Source organism: Homo sapiens, chromosome 4 (genome assembly GCF_000001405.40).
Source record: "Homo sapiens chromosome 4, GRCh38.p14 Primary Assembly".
Classification (NCBI taxonomy): Eukaryota; Metazoa; Chordata; class Mammalia; order Primates; family Hominidae; genus Homo; species Homo sapiens.
In genome coordinates, this window is record NC_000004.12 from 87,068,914 (window position 1) to 87,089,756 (window position 20,843).

The 20,843-nt window shown below is 39.4% G+C and overlaps 1 protein-coding gene and 1 long non-coding RNA gene across 15 annotated transcripts in view, besides 2 other annotated features; both read left to right on the forward strand.

The window, feature by feature from the left end:
- The window catches only part of AFF1 (ALF transcription elongation factor 1), a 206,029-nt gene that overhangs the window by 133,903 nt on the left and 51,283 nt on the right, over positions 1-20,843 (forward strand). For 9 of the 14 annotated variants that reach the window (XM_005263007.4, NM_001166693.3, XM_017008215.3 and 6 more), the window contains one exon: positions 15,207-15,251. In XM_005263007.4, coding sequence (XP_005263064.1) covers positions 15,207-15,251 — 45 coding nt within the window. Of the gene's footprint in view, positions 1-15,206; positions 15,252-15,663; positions 20,778-20,843 lie in introns of those variants that run through there. The other 5 variants (XM_047415702.1, XM_005263009.5, XM_047415703.1 and 2 more) reach the window with 2 other exon arrangements.
- Positions 24-6,917, forward strand: LOC105377320 (uncharacterized). The gene is made up of 2 exons (XR_938956.2): positions 24-256; positions 4,626-6,917. It is a non-coding gene; the product is annotated as an uncharacterized LOC105377320 (long non-coding RNA).
- Positions 4,688-4,877: an enhancer, noted in NCBI's record as "active region_21703". NCBI's record gives its function as "activates an Ori minimal core promoter by ATAC-STARR-seq in GM12878 lymphoblastoid cells {active_cell/tissue: GM12878}" and the evidence as "EXISTENCE:reporter gene assay evidence [ECO:0000049][PMID:35858748]".
- Positions 4,898-4,947: an enhancer, noted in NCBI's record as "active region_21704". NCBI's record gives its function as "activates an Ori minimal core promoter by ATAC-STARR-seq in GM12878 lymphoblastoid cells {active_cell/tissue: GM12878}" and the evidence as "EXISTENCE:reporter gene assay evidence [ECO:0000049][PMID:35858748]".

Genomic DNA, 20,843 nt, shown 5'->3' on the forward strand with positions numbered 1-20,843 from the left:
AAGACATGTTCACAGAGGTGAGTGCCCCACAGTGTACAGCTGCCCCACAGTAAGTATGCAGCAGCTGGAGGTTCAGGTGGGGAGGATGGAGGGTAGGGAAATAAGTGAGAGGTGAGGCCACAAGAGAAAGTTGATGTGTCTTGTTTCTCTTCCCCCTTCTCTTCTTTTCTTTTGCCCCCCTGTGTTAGGGGCTAACATGGAAGAAGAGAAGGATCAAAATGACCTCTGTGGTTTAGTGCATGACCTTATAAACAAGGTAAATAAGCTTGCCAGCCATAGGTATTCGTCCCTTCCCATGTCCCCTCCCTCTGTATAAACTTGATAGGTAATAGACAGGTGGCGTGGTGTGTGTGGCCTCTTTTTTTTTTTTTTTTTTTTTTGGCTACCACTAGAGGCTTGGAATACCTCTTGAGATTTGCATGGTTGTTAGTTTAGATTATGGATTCATTCTCTCCCTCCCTCTCCTTCTGTCCCCATCTCCTCTCTTTTCTGTCTCTCCCTCCCTCCCTCTCCCCTTCTCCCTCTCTCTCCCTATCCTCTTCCTCCCTCCCTCTCGTCTCTCTTCCTTGCTTTCTCTTTCCTCTCTCCATCTTTTCTCTCCTCTCCCCTCCTCTTTCTCTCCCCTCCTCTTTCTCTCCCCTTTCCCTCTCCTCTCTCTCCTCTCTCCCTCTCCTATCATCTCTCCCTCCTTTCCCTTCCCTTTCCCCCCACTTCCTCCCTTCCTTTTTTCTCTTCTCCTTCCCCTCCTTTCTTTCATTTTACTGAAATAATGGTGAGAGTGACAGTAGAGAAAATATAACTTGGAGTTTTGTATCTGGAGAAAATCACAGCATATTCTTGGCAATATATTTGAAAGAAATTCAAAACATAAGTATTAAATAAGGTATTCCTTATCACTCAGGATTTTTTTTTTTTTTTTTTTTGAGACGGAGTCTCACTCTGTTGCCCAGGCTGGAGTATAGTGTGGGATCTCAGCTCACTGCAACCTTTTCCCCCAACCCTGTTCAAGCAATTCTCCTGCCTCAGCCTCCTGAGTAGCTGGGATTACAGGCGTGTGCCACAACGCCTGACTAATTTTTTGTTGTTGGTTTTGTTTTTATTTTTGTTTTGAGATGGAGTCTCGCTTAGTCACCAGGCTGGAGTGCAGTGGCAGGATCTCAGCTCACTGCAACCCCTGCCTCCCGGGTTCAAGTGATTGTCCTGCGTCAGCCTCCTGAGTAGCTGGGATTACAGGCCTGCGCCACCACACCACGCTAATTTTTGTATTTTTAGTAGAAACGGGGTTTCACCATGTTGGCGAGGCTAGTCTCAATCTCCTGACCTTGTGATCCACCTGTCTCGGCCTCCCGAAGTGCTGGGAGTAGAGGCGTGAGCCACTGCACCCAGACCTAATTTTTGTATTTTTAGTAGAGACTGGGTTTCACCATGTTGACCAGGCTGGTCTCGAACTCCTGACCTTGTGATCCACCTGCCTCGGCCTCCCAAAATGCTGGGATTACAGGCGTGAGCCACCATGCTCAGCCTTTTCTTCATCTTTCAAACTCTGGACTTGAATTTCTGGATCACTTAGCAAATGTTTATGGCTTTTAAAAATCTTCCTGAAGTAAAGCTAAAAACTGAAAATATTGGCAGCTTCTCAGCCTAAATATGATGTATGTGTGCGTATGCATTTATGCATGTGCATGCACACTCCATCCAAGATGTTATTTGTTGTTTCTCATAAGAAACTTACAATTTAAGTCAAATTTAAAAGATGGTGGGTGCTTCTACCCAAGTTTTAACATATAAACAGTATTAATTTTCACCAGTCTAGGAAAATTTCAAAATAATTTTCCTTCAATACAGACAGGTGTACTAGAGAAATTTCAGTGTACTTCTAGCTTTATGGTTCTCATTAATTTATTCAGCATAGTTTGTGATCTGTCTATATTTGTAGGGGGTGTAAATTTATGTGATGAAAAGCTAATAGGCGAGGACGATAGTGTTTCCACTTTTTACTCCCCAGGAGACAGGAATTGTTTAAGGTTAGCTATAGTGAGTCCGCTTAAGTCAACGCCAAGACAACTGAGAAACTGGCGAAAAAGCAGTGAGAAAGGAAGAAGAACCCCCAATTTTTTCTTTGATTGATTTGAATGTAGGCTAGTTATACCTTTTTGGCTGTTTTTAGTAAGAACTATGTTATAAAATGAATTGGAGGACCTGTTACCACCAGACTTAGGAGGTAGTAGTTTTCCAGTGACTTTTAATTTCCCTACCAGTCTTTTTTTTTTTTTTTTTAAATACAGGGTTCTAGGTTAGTGTAGGAAAAAAAACTGGTGTATTTTATTCCACAAGAAGCTTTTGGTAAATTATTTATTAAGGAAACAACTGTTGGACATTGAGATGGCTTTTAAAGATTTACCTAGAAGAGATAATAAAACAGATAAAACTGATCTGCTCAGGGGCCTGTCTTCAGTCTTTTCAGGCTCGTTTACTGTGGTGTTCATGCCAGCGCAGCCTGGTAGACAGTGTTGCTGTGGCTGTAGAAATAACACTGCTCATTTTTATGGAGGATATTGCTGTATGCCAGTTAAAGAAATTCAAGTTGAAAGACCTTTAAATTTTTTTTAATAATACACTTCCTTCCCCACCCCCAAGCTGTCACCATGATTATGATGCCAGGAAAGCAGTGCGGTGGCTCCAGGATTGTTCTCCCATGGGCTGTGTGCCAGGTGGATGAAGTAGTCAGGAGGGCCACAGTTGGGTTTATGTACAACCTAGATATCATCTACTTGTGCTGGTTGACCCTCCATTTTCTAAAGGCAATTTCCAAAGGGAGTTGCTTTTGTTGTTACTATTAGAACGGTTGCCTTTTTTCCATATGATCTCTTCTCTGTCACTTAGGTTCTGTATTCTATATAGAAAAGTATGGAGGGAAAGGGAAGAATCAGGAAAGATAGTGAATGCAAGAATATTGGGGGTTATGATGTGGTTAAGTTAGATTGTGCCTCAAAACACTGAAAAGATTGGAGTTTCGGGTCAGGAGCTCTGGATTAAAGGCCAACGGGAATCTTTTAAACTTCTTGGTTGTGTGTGTGTGTCGGTGTGTGAAGTCAGAGGCAGACGATGAGAGAAATAAATTGAGATGGAGAGAAAATAATATGAATGCTTAGAAGATTTTAAATTCAGGGCTGGGCGTGGTGGCTCACGCCTGTAATCCCAGCACTTTGGGAGGCCGAGGTGGGCGGATCACGAAGTCAGGAGATCTAGACCATCCTGGCTAACACGGTGAAGACCCGTCTCTACTAAAAATACAAAAAATTAGCTGGGCCTGGTGGCGGGCGCCTGTAGTCCCAGCTACTCAGGAGTCTGAGGCAGGAGAATGGCGTGAACCCGGGAGGCGGAGCTTGCAGTGAGCCAAGATCACACCACTGCACTCCAGCCTGGGCAACAGAGCGAGACTCCGTCTCAAAAAAAAAAAAAAAAAAAATTTAAATTCAGAAGGCATTAAGAGGACATTTATTTTTTAAACGATTTTCTCCTTGGCACTTATTAAATACCTATTTAAAATAAATTCAAGAATAACTTTTATATATCTAGTCTGCCCCTTGTATTTATTTATTATTTATTTTTATATTTATATTTTTGAGATGGAGTTTTGCTCTGTCTCTCAGGCTGGAGTGCAGTGGCACGATCTCAGCTCACGGCAGCCTCCGCCTCCTAGGTTCAGCAATTCTCCTGCTTCAGCCTCCCCAGTAGCTGGGATTACACGCTTGCACCACCCACCACCACGCCTGGCTGATTTTTTTTGTATTTTTAGTAGAGATGGGATTTCACCATGTTGGCCAGGCTGGTCACAAACTACTGACCTCAAGTGATCTGCCTGCCCTCGGTCTTCCAAGGTGCTGGGATTACAGGCGTGAGCCAGTGTACCCAGCCTCTTGTGTTTATTTAAAAAGAAATACTGGCGTTTGTCGAATGATGGAGTCTTATTTTCAAACTTTTGTATTAAATATATTTTCGCTTTCACCAGATCAGTAAATCAGTGTATCAGATGAGTCTTGCTGGAAGTCTGATGTAGTTTGTGTATAGTTTTAGACCAAATTTATATGCAGAGATAACGCAGGAAAAGATAATTAAGTCTATCTAAGATTCAGTGGGATTAGTAAGCCTTAAAAAAAAAAAAAGACCAAATCTGTTTATTGATAGGTTATAGAAAAGCAAAATACTTCCTTAAATTAGGCACTTTTTGATAGGCTTAAATAAATGATGTATAACTGTTCATGATGTTCTGATATTAAATGAATTGTACATTCCCAGGATGACCTTGAGCCCTTTTTCTAGACCCTAGTAATTAACCTGATTGCTCATTACCCAGCATTAAAGCCAAAAAAAAAAAAAAAAAAAAAAAAAAAAAAAAAAGCGGGGGCGGAGGATTTACTTGTTCAGAATTAAGATGTCAAGGACAAGGTCGTCTTTATTTGCCTTCTCTCTTTTGCGTTTGTTATAGTGTCAGTAATCCCCAGGGTGTTTGGGGCTCAGATTGCTTCCTCAGAGTATATATGCCTCTAGCCTACCACTTCAATAATTTTCTGTCCTTTTTTCCCCCGTTTTTTTTGTGTTTTGTTTTTAAATAACGATGCCAGGAGACAGAAAACCAACACCTACTCCAGAAGAGGCTGTTGAGATTACTGCTGGAATAAGCCCAGGATAAAATCTTTATGTCCTTTCAGACAAAGCGTGGATTAAATAGTTTATCTGACTCATATGACTGCAGTTTCTTTCGGCCTCATCCAGAAACTGATACAAAGTTGTTTTTTTCTTCTTCCTTTTTCTGGTGCTTCTATAATCTTAGCTTATGCTCAGCTGTGAAAAAAGTAAATGTCCAGGCAGGCACTCTCTGCAACATAGAATTAAACATGCTTCCTGAACATTGTTTGCACTTTCATTTGACAGAGAGCAGAAATACAGGTTTATGTATCCATAAATCCTGTCATGGTTGACAAAGTAATTTAATAGTGTTTTGACTCAGAACCATCCGTTAATACGATTTGAGAGACAGAGTAGAGTGCTCGTGTGTGTGTGCACGTGCGTGTGTGCATGTGTGTGTAGGACTGGATGGGGTGGGTGCAGGGCAGGAAGCATGTGACAGAACACCACCACGCTGCAGTTTCACACCCTCCCTGCAGCAATAGGTTTTAACTGAAAAGCTACTACTCATGCTTTGCAAATTGATAGTCCCACTGAAAAAAAAAAAATTAAATTCTTCCGAAAAACACTCTGAGGTTTTCGTGAGCAGAATTGGTTGTAGAAGGGGAAATAGATCATATAGCTTAGGCCATTTGAAAGGACTTGTCAGTTGACTATTGCTGGAATGGAACCAGTGTCTAGACTTGTTCTTTGTGATGCCTTTAAAAAAAAAAAAATCAGTGCCTTTTAACCATTCTTACTTAATCATTCATGGCTGCTGTGCCCACAATGGGCTTCATGGGGCCTCATGTGGTCTTTCATCAAAGGCACAGTGTTTTAAAGTCTTAGACCATTGGGGATTCTGATTCCCCTTATTACGTGGTGAATGGTAATGGTTCATAGTCAATAGTTAGGAAGTTGGTGAATAACTGAGATTAGACATTTACTGTCAAACAGTGGTAAGTTTTTTACATTTGTTTTTCATTCAGGTACTTTGTTGTTAAGTGAGTTTAAACCTATCCCAGCACACCCTACTTATTTTAACTTTTGCACTGTTAGTTGACATATTGTCATAATATGTACTGAAAACATTTCTGCGTATAAAACATCAACACTGAATTGTACCTTTTATATGTACTGTTTCATGTGACTATACAGGACCTTGCAAACATCAAAAATTATATTGTATGTGATCTCAGGATATATAATGGTAACAAAATCAGTGAATCCAGCATTGTTACTGCTTCTCTCATTATTTGCATATTCTTATCAAGTGAGTGTTTACAATTATACATGTGGACAACAACCACTCATTGTTTTCATTTTTATTTAAGCCGGGTCTTAAGAACTGGAATCCTTGGTTTCATAATTAAAAGAGGCCCTCTTTGTAGAGATCAAAACAAAATTTCCAGAATGTTTTAAGTAGCTCAGTTAATGCAGATTGAGCCTCTACAAATTTTATATGCTTTAGAAAAATATCTTTATGATGCCAATTATGCAGATTACCTCACTGGTATAATCAAAATGACCAACTGGAAAGAAACAATAAGTTTTCTAATTATTCATATTAATCTTTAAAGAACTGCTATTTTAAAATACTTCTTCCCATTGGGTTTTATAAGTTTCAGTGATGTCTTAGGATTTAGTGGGTTTTTTTAGCTTGTTTTTGCTTTAGTTGATGAAAGATAAGGTAATATCATTTGCTTATGAAAGAGCAATTTACCTAAAGGTAAATTTAAAAAAATCAAATATATAAATATGTGTGCATATATTCACTTATATGTACACATATATACACACGTATTCAATATGTTATATATATATCTCCTATCTACACGATATATTAGGCTCTCATTTATTAAATGAACTGGGGTGCCAGCACATCTCTAACATGATCTTCCAGTGTTTATCCTGGAGTATTATTTCTTCATCTTCTATCTCAAGGAAGCGTACGTACATCCTTTCTTTACCCAAACATGCTGCCTGATATACCTACCCTCCCCAACCTGACGTTCTGATGTTACTGTCATATCTGAAATTTTGCATTCTGAGAAATTTATGTCCCCAAACTGCATTTAGGCAACTACTCTTATAGGTGAAAACATCTGATTAGGTGGTAGTGGTTGATGGATTATAGTCACAAGATAATACTTCTTTAAAATTTGAAGACTTCTGCATCTTAAAAATATCACTGTTCTGTGAAGTTGTCTGGAGTTTTACCAATATGAGCTGACATATATTGCTTCCCAGGAAAGAGATTGGAAATTCACCATAAAACTCTAATTACTTTTTGGTTATCTTATGTATCTGAATTTTGTTTGAGATGTCATGACATGACAAAATCGAGTATTCATTTTATAAATATTAAATGAGTCTAGAATTATGCTAAGGCCTTGTGAGGAATGCAGAGATTACTAAACCCTAGTTCCTGCTTGTGGGAAGCCTGTCTGGAGGAGAAAGATTAGAACACTAAGGGTTACAATCCAGAGTTGAATGTGATTGGAGAGTCAAGGGAGGGAAGACTTCCAGAAAAGGGCAGCCAGTGGTTGTGATGCACTACCCCCTTCTTCTAGGTTCCCCCAATAGGAGTAGAATTCCTTGTTCGTTTCATAATAAATTTTTGTTGGGAGATAACTGTAGGTGACCTAGAGATTCCTCATTATTTTAAAATAATCTTTTTTATCCACCTTATTTCTCCTCTCCCTGAAAAATCTGTTTAGAGAACTATAGAGATTCTGCAGTTAGGGAGATTCTGCAGTTAGCCTCATTTGTGTTAGTCTTCACATGTGGCAGGCAGTTTGACGTTAAAAAGAGTCAGGGAACATGAAAGTAATTTTTTGCTACATATTAGAGCTTATCACTTTTAAGGAATATCCAAAACCTTTCCATTATTTAAAGATATCTGGGATTAGATGAAGTGTAGCTAATAATTCTTAAGGGAGGATTTAACAGTTAAAGTTGGTTTTGCAACTTAATGTAATAATACTTTATTTTTAGGAAAGCTGTTCAGAGCACCTTATTCCTTGTTTTGTAATCCATCACCCCTCCATCCATATTAATCTTTAGCATGGCTGTTTTTTGTTGTTGTTTTCCTTGTTTTAATTTGGACTATAACTGTGCTCATATATCTGTCCAGTGATTTAAAAAAATGTTTATCCTAAAATTCTGGGTATACAGATAGATGGGTAGTTGCCCATAGGGCATGATGCTTCTGAAAGTAGAATTACTGCTGGTCCCTTTGAACGTTTTCCAGCTGAAGTAGGCACACCCAGGCAGTATGAGCATGTTCTTGGAACAGGCTTAGCTATTTATGTAATTTACTCTGTGTCTATAGAACACAATTTTATGACAAACCTTGTTCAGCCAGGCCTTTTAGTCTCCTCCTCTAATCTGTCTCTTAGAAATGATGATTATGGTGTCTTCATATAAATGCATGTATTTATTTGTATGGAATTAGTTTTAACATGCATTGTCTTATTTCTTCCTCAAAACAACCCTGTAAGATTATGTTCATTTCAAATGTGTCTTCTCACTATGTAAGTATGACTAACAAAAAGGAGAGCGAGAATAAAAAACTTCTCTTTCAATAACTTTCTAGTCTAGTTTGGAAAGTTCGTGAAGTTTAGCAAGTGAACACTGGGCCAGGCCTTCAGAGCAAGTCCTGTGGCAACTCGAGTTCCATTAGGGAAGGCTGACTGGAAATCTGTTTTGTTTTGTTTTTTTTACAAAAATTCAGTGTGGCGTGTATTACGTAGGGTGTGCCCAGAGCACCAAGGTGTAAGCTGGGGACAGTTTAACATAGGTGTGTGTTCAGAGTAAGGTAAGTTACATAGAGGAAGGCTAATAGAAAATTTAGCTGTACTTCGAGAACAGGCTTTTGATCCCTATTTATTTCAATCTAATATTTGTGTTTTTAGTAATGAATAGGTAATAGGTCAGAATTTAAAAGGTTAAAAAAAGGATATACATTGAAAATCTTCCCCCTATTCCTTCCCCCAGCCTCCATTCCCCAGCCTTCCTTTCTGGAAGTAATTGATGTTAGGACTTTCTTGTGTATCATTCCCAGTGGTATTTTATGCATAGTAAGCAACTCCATATATATGTTTTCTTCTCATTGATACTTTCTTCATTTATAGAAATGCTGGCATATAATGCATCTTTTTTTAAAAATTTATTCTTCTAAACAATGTATCTTGGAGATTACCCCAAATCAATGCAAAAAGAGCATCCTTATTCTTTGTTGTAGTTGCGTAGCATTTATTTCTTTCTAGGTGGCATGTACCATAGTTTTCATAGTCAGTTACCTGTAGATACACATTTAGATTGTTTCCAGTATCTTGCTATTTGCAAACTAGGCTGAAGTGAATAACTTTGTACATATTTTTTTTGTACATGTAGGAGGCAGTGCTAAAGGTTAGAGAAGTGTCTGTGTAATTAGAATTTGCTGACTATTGCCAAATTAATGTCCTTAAAGGTTGTAGCACTTAATCCTCCTACCAATCATGGGATTTGAGTGCCTATTTCCCCATGTCTATCTCATAGATGGAGTATTGTTAATCTTGTGGCTGTTTGCCAATCTACGTGTGAAAAGTAGTTTCTCAGTAGTTGTAATGTTTCCAGGGAGAAAACAATGCAAAACAATTATCTTTTTGTCTCTTTTATGTTTATTTACATGTAGTTTAGTTTGTTAATTAAGGTGTTGCTTTATAATTCAGGCAGCCTGCATCTTCTTAAGTGTCTAAAGCCATAAGAGAAACTTAGTTTCAAATTCTGAGTTCCGGGACTGAAAACATGCCAGCCATTGTTTATGGGGTTGCCTCTGTGTGGCTGGCACCCTGTGATTCAGTGAGGGTTCTGGCCCTAACTTCCATGGAACATATTATCTAGAGGGAGTAGAGAGGATGCAATAACAGAGAATGTACGGATAGTTACGGGAGCATCTGCAAGAGAACCTGGACAGTTTTGGGAGTAAGGGAGCATCAGGGATGTTTTCCAAAAGATGTCTTTCATCTGCAACCTGAAGCTTTAGTAGGAATTATCCCTGACACAGATGGAAGAGAGAAGAGGGCTCCAGATCGGGGCAAGAAAAGTGTGACTTATCTAACTAGCGAGTTGGGGGTAGATGAGCAGCAAATAGTGAAGACTGAACAGTAATCCAAAAGGTGGTGACACATTTGAAGAAAAATAGCTTGGACATTTATTTTACTCTCTTAAAAATTAAACTTTGGATAGATAACCTATTGGGATTTTTTTTTTAAGCTGTCATGCTGTTAAAGAATGCCTTGATAATGTTGGCACCGCCTGTTATTCCATATATCAGTGCCTTTTGATGGTTTTGAAAGTGTGTTTTATTAGATATGTTTTAATATGAAAACATATTTGACCTTCATACCAACCCTGAGAAGTGGTTAGGTTTGGTAATACTATACCTTCTCACAATGAGGAAATAGTCCCAAAGAGGATGAATCTTATCCAAGATTCAGCGCCAGTCTTCAGCAGAGCCAGATCTAGAATCCAAGATCTTTTGGCTTCCCTCGTCAGCACATTGCCTTTGTGCTCTCTCTATTTCCTGGTTAGTGATAAGTAAGCCTTTTTGAGAATAGCATTGTTATAAAAATGCCGCTCTGTTGAAACTTGAGAGACTTAAAACACAATATTGCAAGAGCCTCCCAGTCTCAGTGGCATGTTTCTTCAGCCAGCTCTTTTTAGCTTATTAAAACAAACTGTCATGCTTAGAAGACATTCACTCACATATTTTATTTTGGTATCAGTGCGTTTCCTTACAGTTACACAATGTCATTCCAGGAGGAGTGAGAAATCAGGCCACGGCCAGCATTGCTGCCTTTTCTGGTCCGAAGCACTGGTAGTAGGAAGAGGCAGTTAAATGTGAATACCAAAATGCTTCTTTGTAGAAGCAAAGGAAAAACGTAGCTCTTGAAAAAATGTTTTAGGTTATGCATAGGACAACTGGAATCACACACCCTCCTAAAATGCTAATATATTTGTTTCTTGCAGCAGTGTTGAGGTTTTTAGAAAACTGGTATAACAGTATTCTGAGCCAGCTCAGCTGCTTCAGAGCTTTTGTGTGTCCTTGCATAGACAACTTAATTTCTCTAGGATTCAGTCTCCTCGTTTTATTTTTAAAATTATTTTATTTGTAAATACCTCATCGTGGACTCCAAAAGCATGTCTCCTCGTTTTAAAAACTGGCATAATACCTACCACAAAGGTTGATGTGAGAATTAAATAGAGCTTTATACAGAATTCCCTCAGGCATTTTTAAGTTTATGTAATAGGGATGTATCTTACAGTTGATGGGTACATTTAGTGTAGTCCCCCTACCTCCCAAGCTAATAATGGTGCGTCGTACAATTGATGGTACCAAATTGAGGTGATAATAACATAGAAAGAGTTTAATGCAACGTGAAGTACAAAATGCATTCAATAAGTAGCTGCTATCATTTTTTTAAAAATTAAATATGGCTGCTTGTTAAGGCCATATCCCAGGAGGAAAGTGTGGTCTCTGCTGGGAGGTTGGTCTACATACAGGAAGCCAGATGTGTGAGATGGCTCTAGATAGGCAGAAGGGGAGAGCTCGTGCCCTCTAGGAACCTATTAATAGATATCAAGGGTGGGAAAAGGCAGTGTTTTGTGGTCATGTTAAAGTCAGTGTCTATACCATTGAGGAAAGAGCTAGCCAGAGAAGGACTTACAAACTAGATTTTCTTGATTCATGCAACTATCATAGAAATGTTTATTGTTGCTTTTTGTCATTTTGTGTTCTTTAAGGACGTTGTACATTGAATGTCTTCAGCCTTATCTCAGTTGTGGCTTAGAGAGAGCTGGCCAGGACCAATTGTTTATTCTTTGACCATGGTGTTAAAGGGAGAGTCTGGCTCCTTTTAGTAGGAGTAGCAGTATTTGGCTGGAGACCCTATTGGGAGAGTGGATTTTAGGAAAGGGGTTAAGAGCCAGGTGCAGTGTCACACACCTGTAGTTCCAGCTACTCTCTGAAGGCTGAGGTAGGAGGATGACTTGAGCCCAGGCCAGCCTGGGCACCATAGCAAGACCCCATCTCTGTAAAAGAAGGGGATTAGGGGATTAGGATGTAACGGTTTAACTGCTCCCCTTTTGGAAAACCTCCTTCCAGTGGCATGCTTGGAGGTGCCAAGTTGCACTTTATGAGACGAGGCAGCCTGTCCTTGTAGATCTTTCCCTGTAAACAAATCCAAAAGATCTGTCTTGTAGTTTAAGTGTCTCTAATTAGGGTGGCGAGAAGAGTGAAGATGTGAGTCTCAGGTAGATGGAACATAAAATGATCTCATACTATGCAAACTTTTCAGTAGCCTCTCTTTTAAATGTAGGTTTACAATGTGTTTTGGTATACACAAAAGTATTTAGGGATAAAGGGACATTAACTCTCTAACTTACTCTTAAACAGTTCAAAATGTAGGTGAGCAGAAGAGAAAAATATAAAGCAAATGTAAAATGCTAACATTTGGGAAATCTGGGTAAAAGGTATGTGGGAAATCCTCCTACTGGCTTTTGTAGTTTTTCTCTAATGAAATGAATTTTTTTTTTTTTTTTTTTTTTTTTTTGAGACAGAGTCTCACTCGGTCTCCCAGGCTGGACTACAGTGGCCCAATCTCTGCTCACTGCAAGCTCCGCCTCCCAGGTTCACACGACTCTCCTGCCTCAGCCTCCCTAGTAGCTGGGACTACAGGCATCCGCCACCACGCCTGGCTAATTTTTTGTATTTTTAGTAGAGATGGGGTTTCACCGTGTTAGCCAGGATGGTCTCTTATCTCTTGACCTCCTGATCCACCTGCCTCAGCCTCCCAAAGTGCTGGGATTACAGGCGTGAGCCACTGCGCCCGGCCGTATGAAATGATTTTTAAAGAAAAAAGTATGTATGTTGAACATCTTTCCATGCAAACACCTATGTTTATGTTATTAAATCTGCATGCCATACCATTGTACGGATGCACTGTAAAGGCAGTTAGCTAGATGCATGTTGTTTGCCATTTGCTCATTTCCAATTATTTGCCATGGGAAACAGTGCTTTGTGGAGATCCCTAAATATGATATGCCCTCATATATTTGGAATGAAATCACTGTTCCCCTTTGAAACACCTTCACTCCCATAATGGACTTGACAGGAAGATTAACAGTAAATTAACCAACTAATGCTTGAATCTAAGACCTTATTTAGAATTTTAAATGGGTTAAATGGTGACTATTAGTATCTGGATAAGGTCAATGTTGCTAATCTAAAATAAGCTCTCAAAATTTCTTCAGTCCTGGTTCATCCAACATAACAAAACTCTTGGGGAAAAAAAACATTTCGGCGACATGAAACATCTTGGCAAAGTGTCTACTGCTTGAGTAATTATGGAGATCAGAAAGAAGTCTTTCAGTCTCTTGAAGGGTGTGGCTTTTTGAAATCACTGTGTTGGAAACAACGGACAAATCTTTTCTGCCTTCTTTTAAAATGTGCTTCACTATTTTTAATGGTTGCCAAATATTTTGATTGGATTCCTAGTCTCATTCCAGCAACACGTAGGATGAGGGGAATATTTTTTCCAGACTCAGCACAGTCATGTGCTTGTTCTATTGATTCACCTTCGACTTTTAATTGTTATTTTTCTAATGATCCATGTAAATTGAAATCGTAGAATAGTATTACATTTACCCTCATGTAAAAACAGCATTTCTGTATCTTAAGTTTGTGCTAAAATAGAGCACAAATGTTTGGTCCAGTTTTTAGGTGTTTCTTAATGGTTTTAAAAACAAAAAGGCCTGGTTGTTTGCATGTGTAATGCTAGAGATGATTCCAGTGGATCCTGCCAGATGTAAGGGACACCCTTGATTCTCTTTGGTTATACCTGACTTCAAGACTCTTTCCAGGAAATTTACATGTTTTAAAAACAGACTGCATCTGAATTTTTTTTTAATTTTTAAATTTTATTTTTAAATTTTTGTCTGTTTTGAAACTGGGTTACGAGACTGGCTAATTTTTGTATTTTTGGTAGAGATGGGGTTTTGCCATGATGCCCAGGCTGCTCTCAGACTCCTGGGCTCAGGCAATCTGCCCGCCTCGGCCTCCCAAAGTGCTGGGATTACAGGTGTGAGCCAGCACACCTGGCCTACATCTGAATTTTGACATTAGATTCAATTACAGGACGGTGTGAATGTTTGTATGCTCTATTTCCTTTTTCTTCATCCATGGAGTGAATTGGAATGAGGGAAATGGTAGATTAATAAACCCTAGATTGCAAATTAGCAACCAGTTCTATATTAAATTACACATAAATTAGAACCAAGAACAGGAAAGAACCCCTTGCCATCTGTTCTCTAGCTGCGAGGTAGGTATTAAATGGACCAAAAAGAGCAGAGTTTTATGCATAGCAGTGGCAGTAATGGGAAAGTCATATGTTGTATAGTACTTGCTGTACTGTGCCCATGATGCCTGGCTCATGAATTGACACAGAGCAAGTTGCTATTCCATTGAAAACCATATGTTCCATGTCTCTAGTTCAGAAAAAATAATTGATTTTAATTTAACTTTGCCTACTTTCTTTGCTCTTAAAAATATGTAGACTGTAAAATGTCATTCCCTAGGCACTGTCTGGTGGTGATACCAGCAGCAGCAATAATCATTATTTGTTTAGCTGGGTATTAGGAAGAGGTAGAAATAGTAGATCTTTCCTCTAAGACAATAATTAATCTCCTCTACCCTTACAGTCTTTCTCTGAAAAAAACTTTGTGTGCGTCTGTGTATGTATATATGCATGTATGTATAAAGTGAAATGCTGACTTTAAGTGAGATATTTTTAACTTTAAAATGAATTTTGGCAGGCTAGCATATAAAAATAATGAAGAGTTATCCTTGATTGGACTTAGCTCCTTACTTTCGACCCACTAATGTGTTCAGATGATCATCATCTTTGTCTTCATTTAATGTGGCTTATTGGTTAGCTGTTGCTATGAGGTAGCTGACTGTGGCACCTATTCTAATCTTATTTTGTACATCTCTTATTCCCTAGGTTTACTAATATACTAATTTTCTTTAATAAAGAAATTTTAGAAACTTTTAACCTGAGGGTCAACAGTTAGTCTGCCATTGTCTCCATCATTACTGTGTTTCCCCACAAGATTCAGTTAGATTAATCTCTCTGGTCTTATTTCATCCAAATGTAAAGTTGTTGTTGTTTTATATATATACAGCCAGAGTGCAGTGGCATGATCTTGGCTCACTGCAGCCTCCACCTCCCTGGCTCATGTGATCCTCCTGCCTCTACCTCCTGAGTAGCTGGGATCACAGGCATGCACCACCATGCATGGCTAATTTTTATATTGCTTTTGGTAGAAATGGGGTTTTGCCATGTTGCCCAGGCTTCAAATGTAAAGTTCTTAATACTTAGCTAGTAGAAGGTAAGCCTTGAGATGAGTATTGCTGCATTAATACAGTCATCCACCAGTACCATCACTCTTGACTCTGGTTTGCTAACCTTTTATTTTTTGCTTTTCACTTTCAGCAGACCTACTCCAATGAAGTCCATTGTGTTGAAGAGATTCTGAAGGTGAGTTCACTGTTAATCTTTCTCATTTGAAGAAATATTTAAGTAGGTAGGCGTACATCCATTTACTTTCACTTTAAAGAACAGTTGCCATTGGCTGGGTGCGGTGGCTCATGCCTGTAATCCTAGCACTTTGGGAGGCCAAGGTGGGCGGATTGCTTGAGCTCCGGAGTTCACGACCAGCCTGGACAACATAGCAAAACCCCGTATCTACTAAGAAAAATACAAAAAATTAGCCAGGAGTGGTGGCACATGCCTGTAGTCCCAGCTACTCAGGAGGCTGAGTCAGGCCTCCTGAACTCGATTGAACCCGAGAGGTGGAGGCTGCTGTGAGCTGAGATCACGCCACTGCACTCCAGCCTGGGCAACAGAGTTGAAACTATGTCTCCAATAAATAAATAAATAAATAAATAAATAAATAAATAAATAAATAAATAAATAAAAAATAAAGAACAGTTGTTGTTCCCAAACCCCTTTTAACCATTTCTCCCCCACTCATCTCCAAAGGCAAAAATAAACCAGAATAGTAACAGAAGTAGTCTTGGAACGTAATTGAATTCTCTACCAGATTTTATTAATTAAATTGAAGTCTACAAACTGCAAGACATTTGGACCAGATTTTTATGGCATCTCTCGTTAAGTTTTTCTGGTTGTCCATAAAGGCCCAGGAGAGTTGCTCACTTCCCAGAGAGGAAACTTCCTGTATTGATGTGTGGGAGGCACCAGTGGTTAAACAGTGCTTGATTTATACCTCTTGGCGTTCTGTAGGTGATACCTAATACCTATGGCCTCATACATACAGCCTTTTCTTCAGTGAGACGATGAAATTTTAAAGGAATGAAAGAAAAATAGTGGGAAGTAGATGGTCATCTTTAGACTTACCTTGAAGGATTACTTTTTGCTTTTGTTTATTGAAACTATGCCATGAACATTTGTGCTTCCACAAATATGTCATTGAATACATTACCCACTTGTTCAATTTTTCTTGTACAAGGATGACAGATTCCTTCTAGAACTTAATTCCAGGGGAAAAATGTTAACTTTCCTCATGAACTGGCATTCTTTCTTTTTATCAGAGAAGAATTATATATAATGTTTCCCATTTTGCCTTTAATTTCCAGGAAACCCAGAGCTTAATTTTAATGCTCAGGTACAGTAATTGTAAAAACTGAGGGTTTTGTGTATTTTTTATCCCTCTTCTGTGGCCTTTAATTTGCTTCTAGGTCAATTTTAATGATATTCTTGTCTTTTACTGTAGGGTTTCTGACTTTTTTCTTCTTTTTTTTTTTTAATTAGTAGAGAGATGTATATAATAAATGTGACTGTTAATTTGAATCACTATTGCTCATATTTTCTCAAAATACATTTACTCAATTTTAGTTTTTTAACTTTTCATTTTAAAGTATTAAGTGATGGTGGTACTAAAACCAGTAATTAAGTATATTGGTTATTTCCTCACTTGTGAAATTTTTGACAGTAGTAGTATCTAACCAGTTGTTTGGAAAACAGCTTGTTTTTGTTTCACAGTCTTTTGTCCCATTTTGTAGTTAGGGTTTTCTGAGAAAGAAAGAACCTCTAGAGAAACATACCTTTTTTTTTTTTTTTGAGACAGAGTCTCTCTCTGTCGCTCAGGCTGGGCGTGACCTTGGCCACTGCAATCTCCACCTCCTGGGTTCAAGCGATTCTTGTGCCTCAGCCACCCAAGTAGCCGGGATTACAGGTGTGCGCCAGTACGCCCTGCTAATTTTTGTATTTTTAGTAGAGACGGTGTTTCACCATCTTGGCCAGGCTGGTCTCAAATGCCTGACCTCAAGTGATCCACCCGCCTCAGCCCCTCAAAGTGTTGGGATTACAGGCGTGAGCCACCGTACCTGGCTGAGAAACATACTTTGAACTGCTAACAGTGAGGAATTTTTGTCAACCAGCATGTAAGATTAAATAAGTTACCTCGATTACATTTTTTATCATCCTTTTCCTCTTCTGTTTCTGAAATTTGTTGGTATGGTAAGTCGTAAACATACTAAGGAATTTAATTATATACTGTGGCCTTGGCATTTCCTCTGAAATTGTGCGTTATTTGTTCTATCATTATTTCAGAAGTAAATGCAACAGTGCAGGTTTGTTGTCTTCTGCATATGTCAGATGCTCCTCTTAGGTTTCGGTGTGTGTTGAAATAAGACATGTCACATCCTTTATTTAGGAATGGTGGTATTACAGCACCAGACAAGCATCTTTAATTGAAGGAACCCATCCGTCCTCCTTCCCTTCCCACCCAGGATCACGTTAGTGAATCCTTGCTTACCTCGAAATGCTTGAGAGAGAGTGGTTAATGTATAAATCATGCCCATTTATGATTTGGAAATCATAACTTGGGAAAGCAAACAGAAGGACGTCCAGGACTGAACAGGCCATAGGCCTTTTCATATTGGAGTCTGCCCCTTCTCTTCTGTCTGTGACCTCAGTTAAGTTATAGGTCGCTGCTGGGCTTTGGTTTCCTCATTGGTAAAATGAAGGCCCTGGGCTAGCGGATGATCTCCAGGGTCCATTCCAGCTCTTACTCTTGACGCTGACCCAGATGCTACTTTCCTTTGCCTCCCGGTTCCCGTTCTCATCTTGTACCAGCAATTTATTAAGATTGCCAGGAATCCAAACACAAATCTTTCTGATGGGTGATAGAGGCAGTAAGTAGTTTCCTAACAGAGAAAATCAATCATAGAAGATAATGTTTGGTTCTCTGGGGTCAGTATTTAAGGGGGAAGTGTTGTAATGAAGGGGAAGTGGTGGCCCATAACTCCAGCAGGCTAATGGAGTAAGAAGATAGCAGACATACACTGTTAGTTTTCAGGGAATGGTCATGCACTAGGGTCTAGAAAGGGCAACATGCCCTTGGTGGGTGCATGGAGACACCTCAGATTTTCTACTTACAGGCAAGCCTGGCCTCCACAGTATCTTGGGGGATTAATGTGGTACCAGCAAGCATTACCTCAGTGCAGCATTTCCATGATGCTAGTACAATGAGTGGTAGCACTATTTATATGTTCATTTGTTTATTCAACAAATACTTGTTAAGCCTCCACAGCACTAGGATGTTGTAGTGAATAAGACAGAGTGCTTGCTTTCATGGAGATCAGAGTAGGGAAGAGAAATACATAGTGTTGGGTGTTGATGGTGCTGTGAATAATGCAACAGGCCAGTAAACAGAAGGCTAGGCAGAGGGAAGAACTGGTGGAAAATCCTCGAGGTGGTATCAAGTTGGTGTATTAGAGGAACAATTAGAACTAGACAGTGTCTCCAGAGCAGGATGAGCAAGGAGAAAAAGACAGTAGCTGTGGGGCCTGGAGGGCCAGGGCTGACGTAGGTCCCAGTGATTTGTCTCTGTTCATGTGACAAGTCATTGTTAAGGTAGGAAGTGAAATCATGGCCTTGTGAGTCTTTCTGAGCAGCCTCTTCTCCTTAATAATGGCCCCAGTTCTCTTAAGTCCCTCTAGTAAGCTAGGCATGTAGGGAAGTATATAAATCCTTTCAGACTACCAGGGAACCACTTAGGGTTTGAAAGAATTTATGTACTTTCCAACTGCCTGATTTAATAGCTGGGACAGCCTTAGGCATTTGGTGACTAAAAGTCATAGATACCATTGAGATTCCAAATAAATTATTGAAAAACATAAGGGTGATGTTTTCAGATACCTTCTCAATTAATTATTACATGTTTTTGTGTTGTAACATTATAATGGTTCTGTGCCTTAAAGTATTACCAAGTAAATAAAACAGCAGGAAGCTCTCTTTGGTGCAGTATTGAAATTCTTTTAAAACTGGACTTTTAATTAAAAGTTGTAATGCTTTTAATTTATTAAGTGCCTTCTGTGCAGTATTCATTCAGTACGGTACATAAAGTACTCTTACAATACTTTGAAAATAAGTGGTTCTAGTTTACCTCTTAGTGAGCATTGAGGATTAGGGTTCAGATGACTTACTTAGGCTGACATGGCTGGTAAGGATTGGAGTTAGGATTCAATCTGGGTCTTTGGCTATAGCCATTATTCTTTCCAGTATATTTTAGGAAAGATCTCCTGTTGTGTCCTGAACAAAGCAGATGGCCAGTCAGTAAACAAGGGCACGAGTTCACTTTTAACAAAAATTAAGAAAGCCGGCATCACTTACATTACTCGTCACTGTGCGAGGTCGCTGCTGTCTCTCCTGAGGCTGTGGTAACCCACAGAGCTGCAATGGGGAAGGGCAACGGGAGACCTGCACATAGGTTGGAAGTGGAAGTACTTGCTACAGTGCCATCTCCAGCTGTTGCAAGGATCAAATGGCATTTTTGTGGAGATAGGTTAGCCAGGACTTAGAAAAGAATGAGGCGTTAGAATACATCATGTGTTATACAGGTGGAGTAATATAGCATGCTGTGGGGTCGCAGATTGCTGGTAGAGTTGTATGTCAATTTTTTTTTTTGTTGTTGAGACGGAGTCTCGCCCTGTCACCCAGGCTGGAGTGCAATGGTGCGATCCCCGCTCACTGCAACCTCCACCTGCCAGGTTCAAGCCATTCTCCTGCCAAGTAGCTGGGATTACAGGCATGTACCACCATGCCCGGCTCATTTTTGTATTTTTGTATTTATTTATTTATTTTTGAGACGGAGTTTCATTCTTGTTGCCCAGGCTGGAGTGCAATGGCACGATCTCGGCTCACTGCAACCTCAGCCTCCCGAGTAGCTGGGATTACAGGCATGCACACCCAAACCCAGCTAATTTTGTATTTTTAGTAGATATGGGGTTTTTCCATGTTGGTCAGGCTGGTCTTGAACTCCCGATCTCAGGTGATCCACCTGCCTTGGCCTCCAAAAGCTGGGATTACAGGTGTGAGCTGCTGCGCCCGGCCGCATGTCGAGTATTAAGCCAGTTTGCCGGGCAGGTCTGACACATGTGGGAACCACCTTTGACTTCCTGGGGTACCTTGACTCAATCATTTTGGACCTCAGTTTTTTTCAATCTGTAGATGTTGGGGTTGTAGTTAATGGTCTCCAATGCCATTTTGGCCTTTTAGAAAAGTGTGTTTGTGTGTGTATGTGTATTTGCAATTTGACACATCTTTTTTCTGACATACCTGTTTTCAACAAGTATTTTTAGAAAAATTTGTGAATGTGTTTAGAAGAATTCATGTCAAGATACATATATCAATTGTAAGTTTTAGAAATCTTTCCTTCAACTGAGAAAATTGTAAAAATTAAGCTTCTCAATGGAAAAGAAAGGTAATTTTAAGCTCCTCTCCTTCAAAAAAGTTCTTATTTGCTAATAGTGTGTATCAGGGAAGGGTCAAATCCATTAAAACTCTCCCAAGTGGAACAAGTGACCTGAATTACTTGTTTGCTTAAGTCAAACAGGAAAGTTCTTCTTCCTTTGAACTGAAATAATTCCAGGAAATGCAGTAAAGAAGCTGAGGGAGAAAGAATGCATCGAGGAGAGACTGCTTTTCCAGCCCAACCTGTCACCTACAGTCTTCACAGCTCCACAAGCTCTGGCAGTACCTGTTACGTACAGTTTATGTGCTTGATAATATTCAGGGTGTTAAATTCATTCACGTTCTATACCTTGA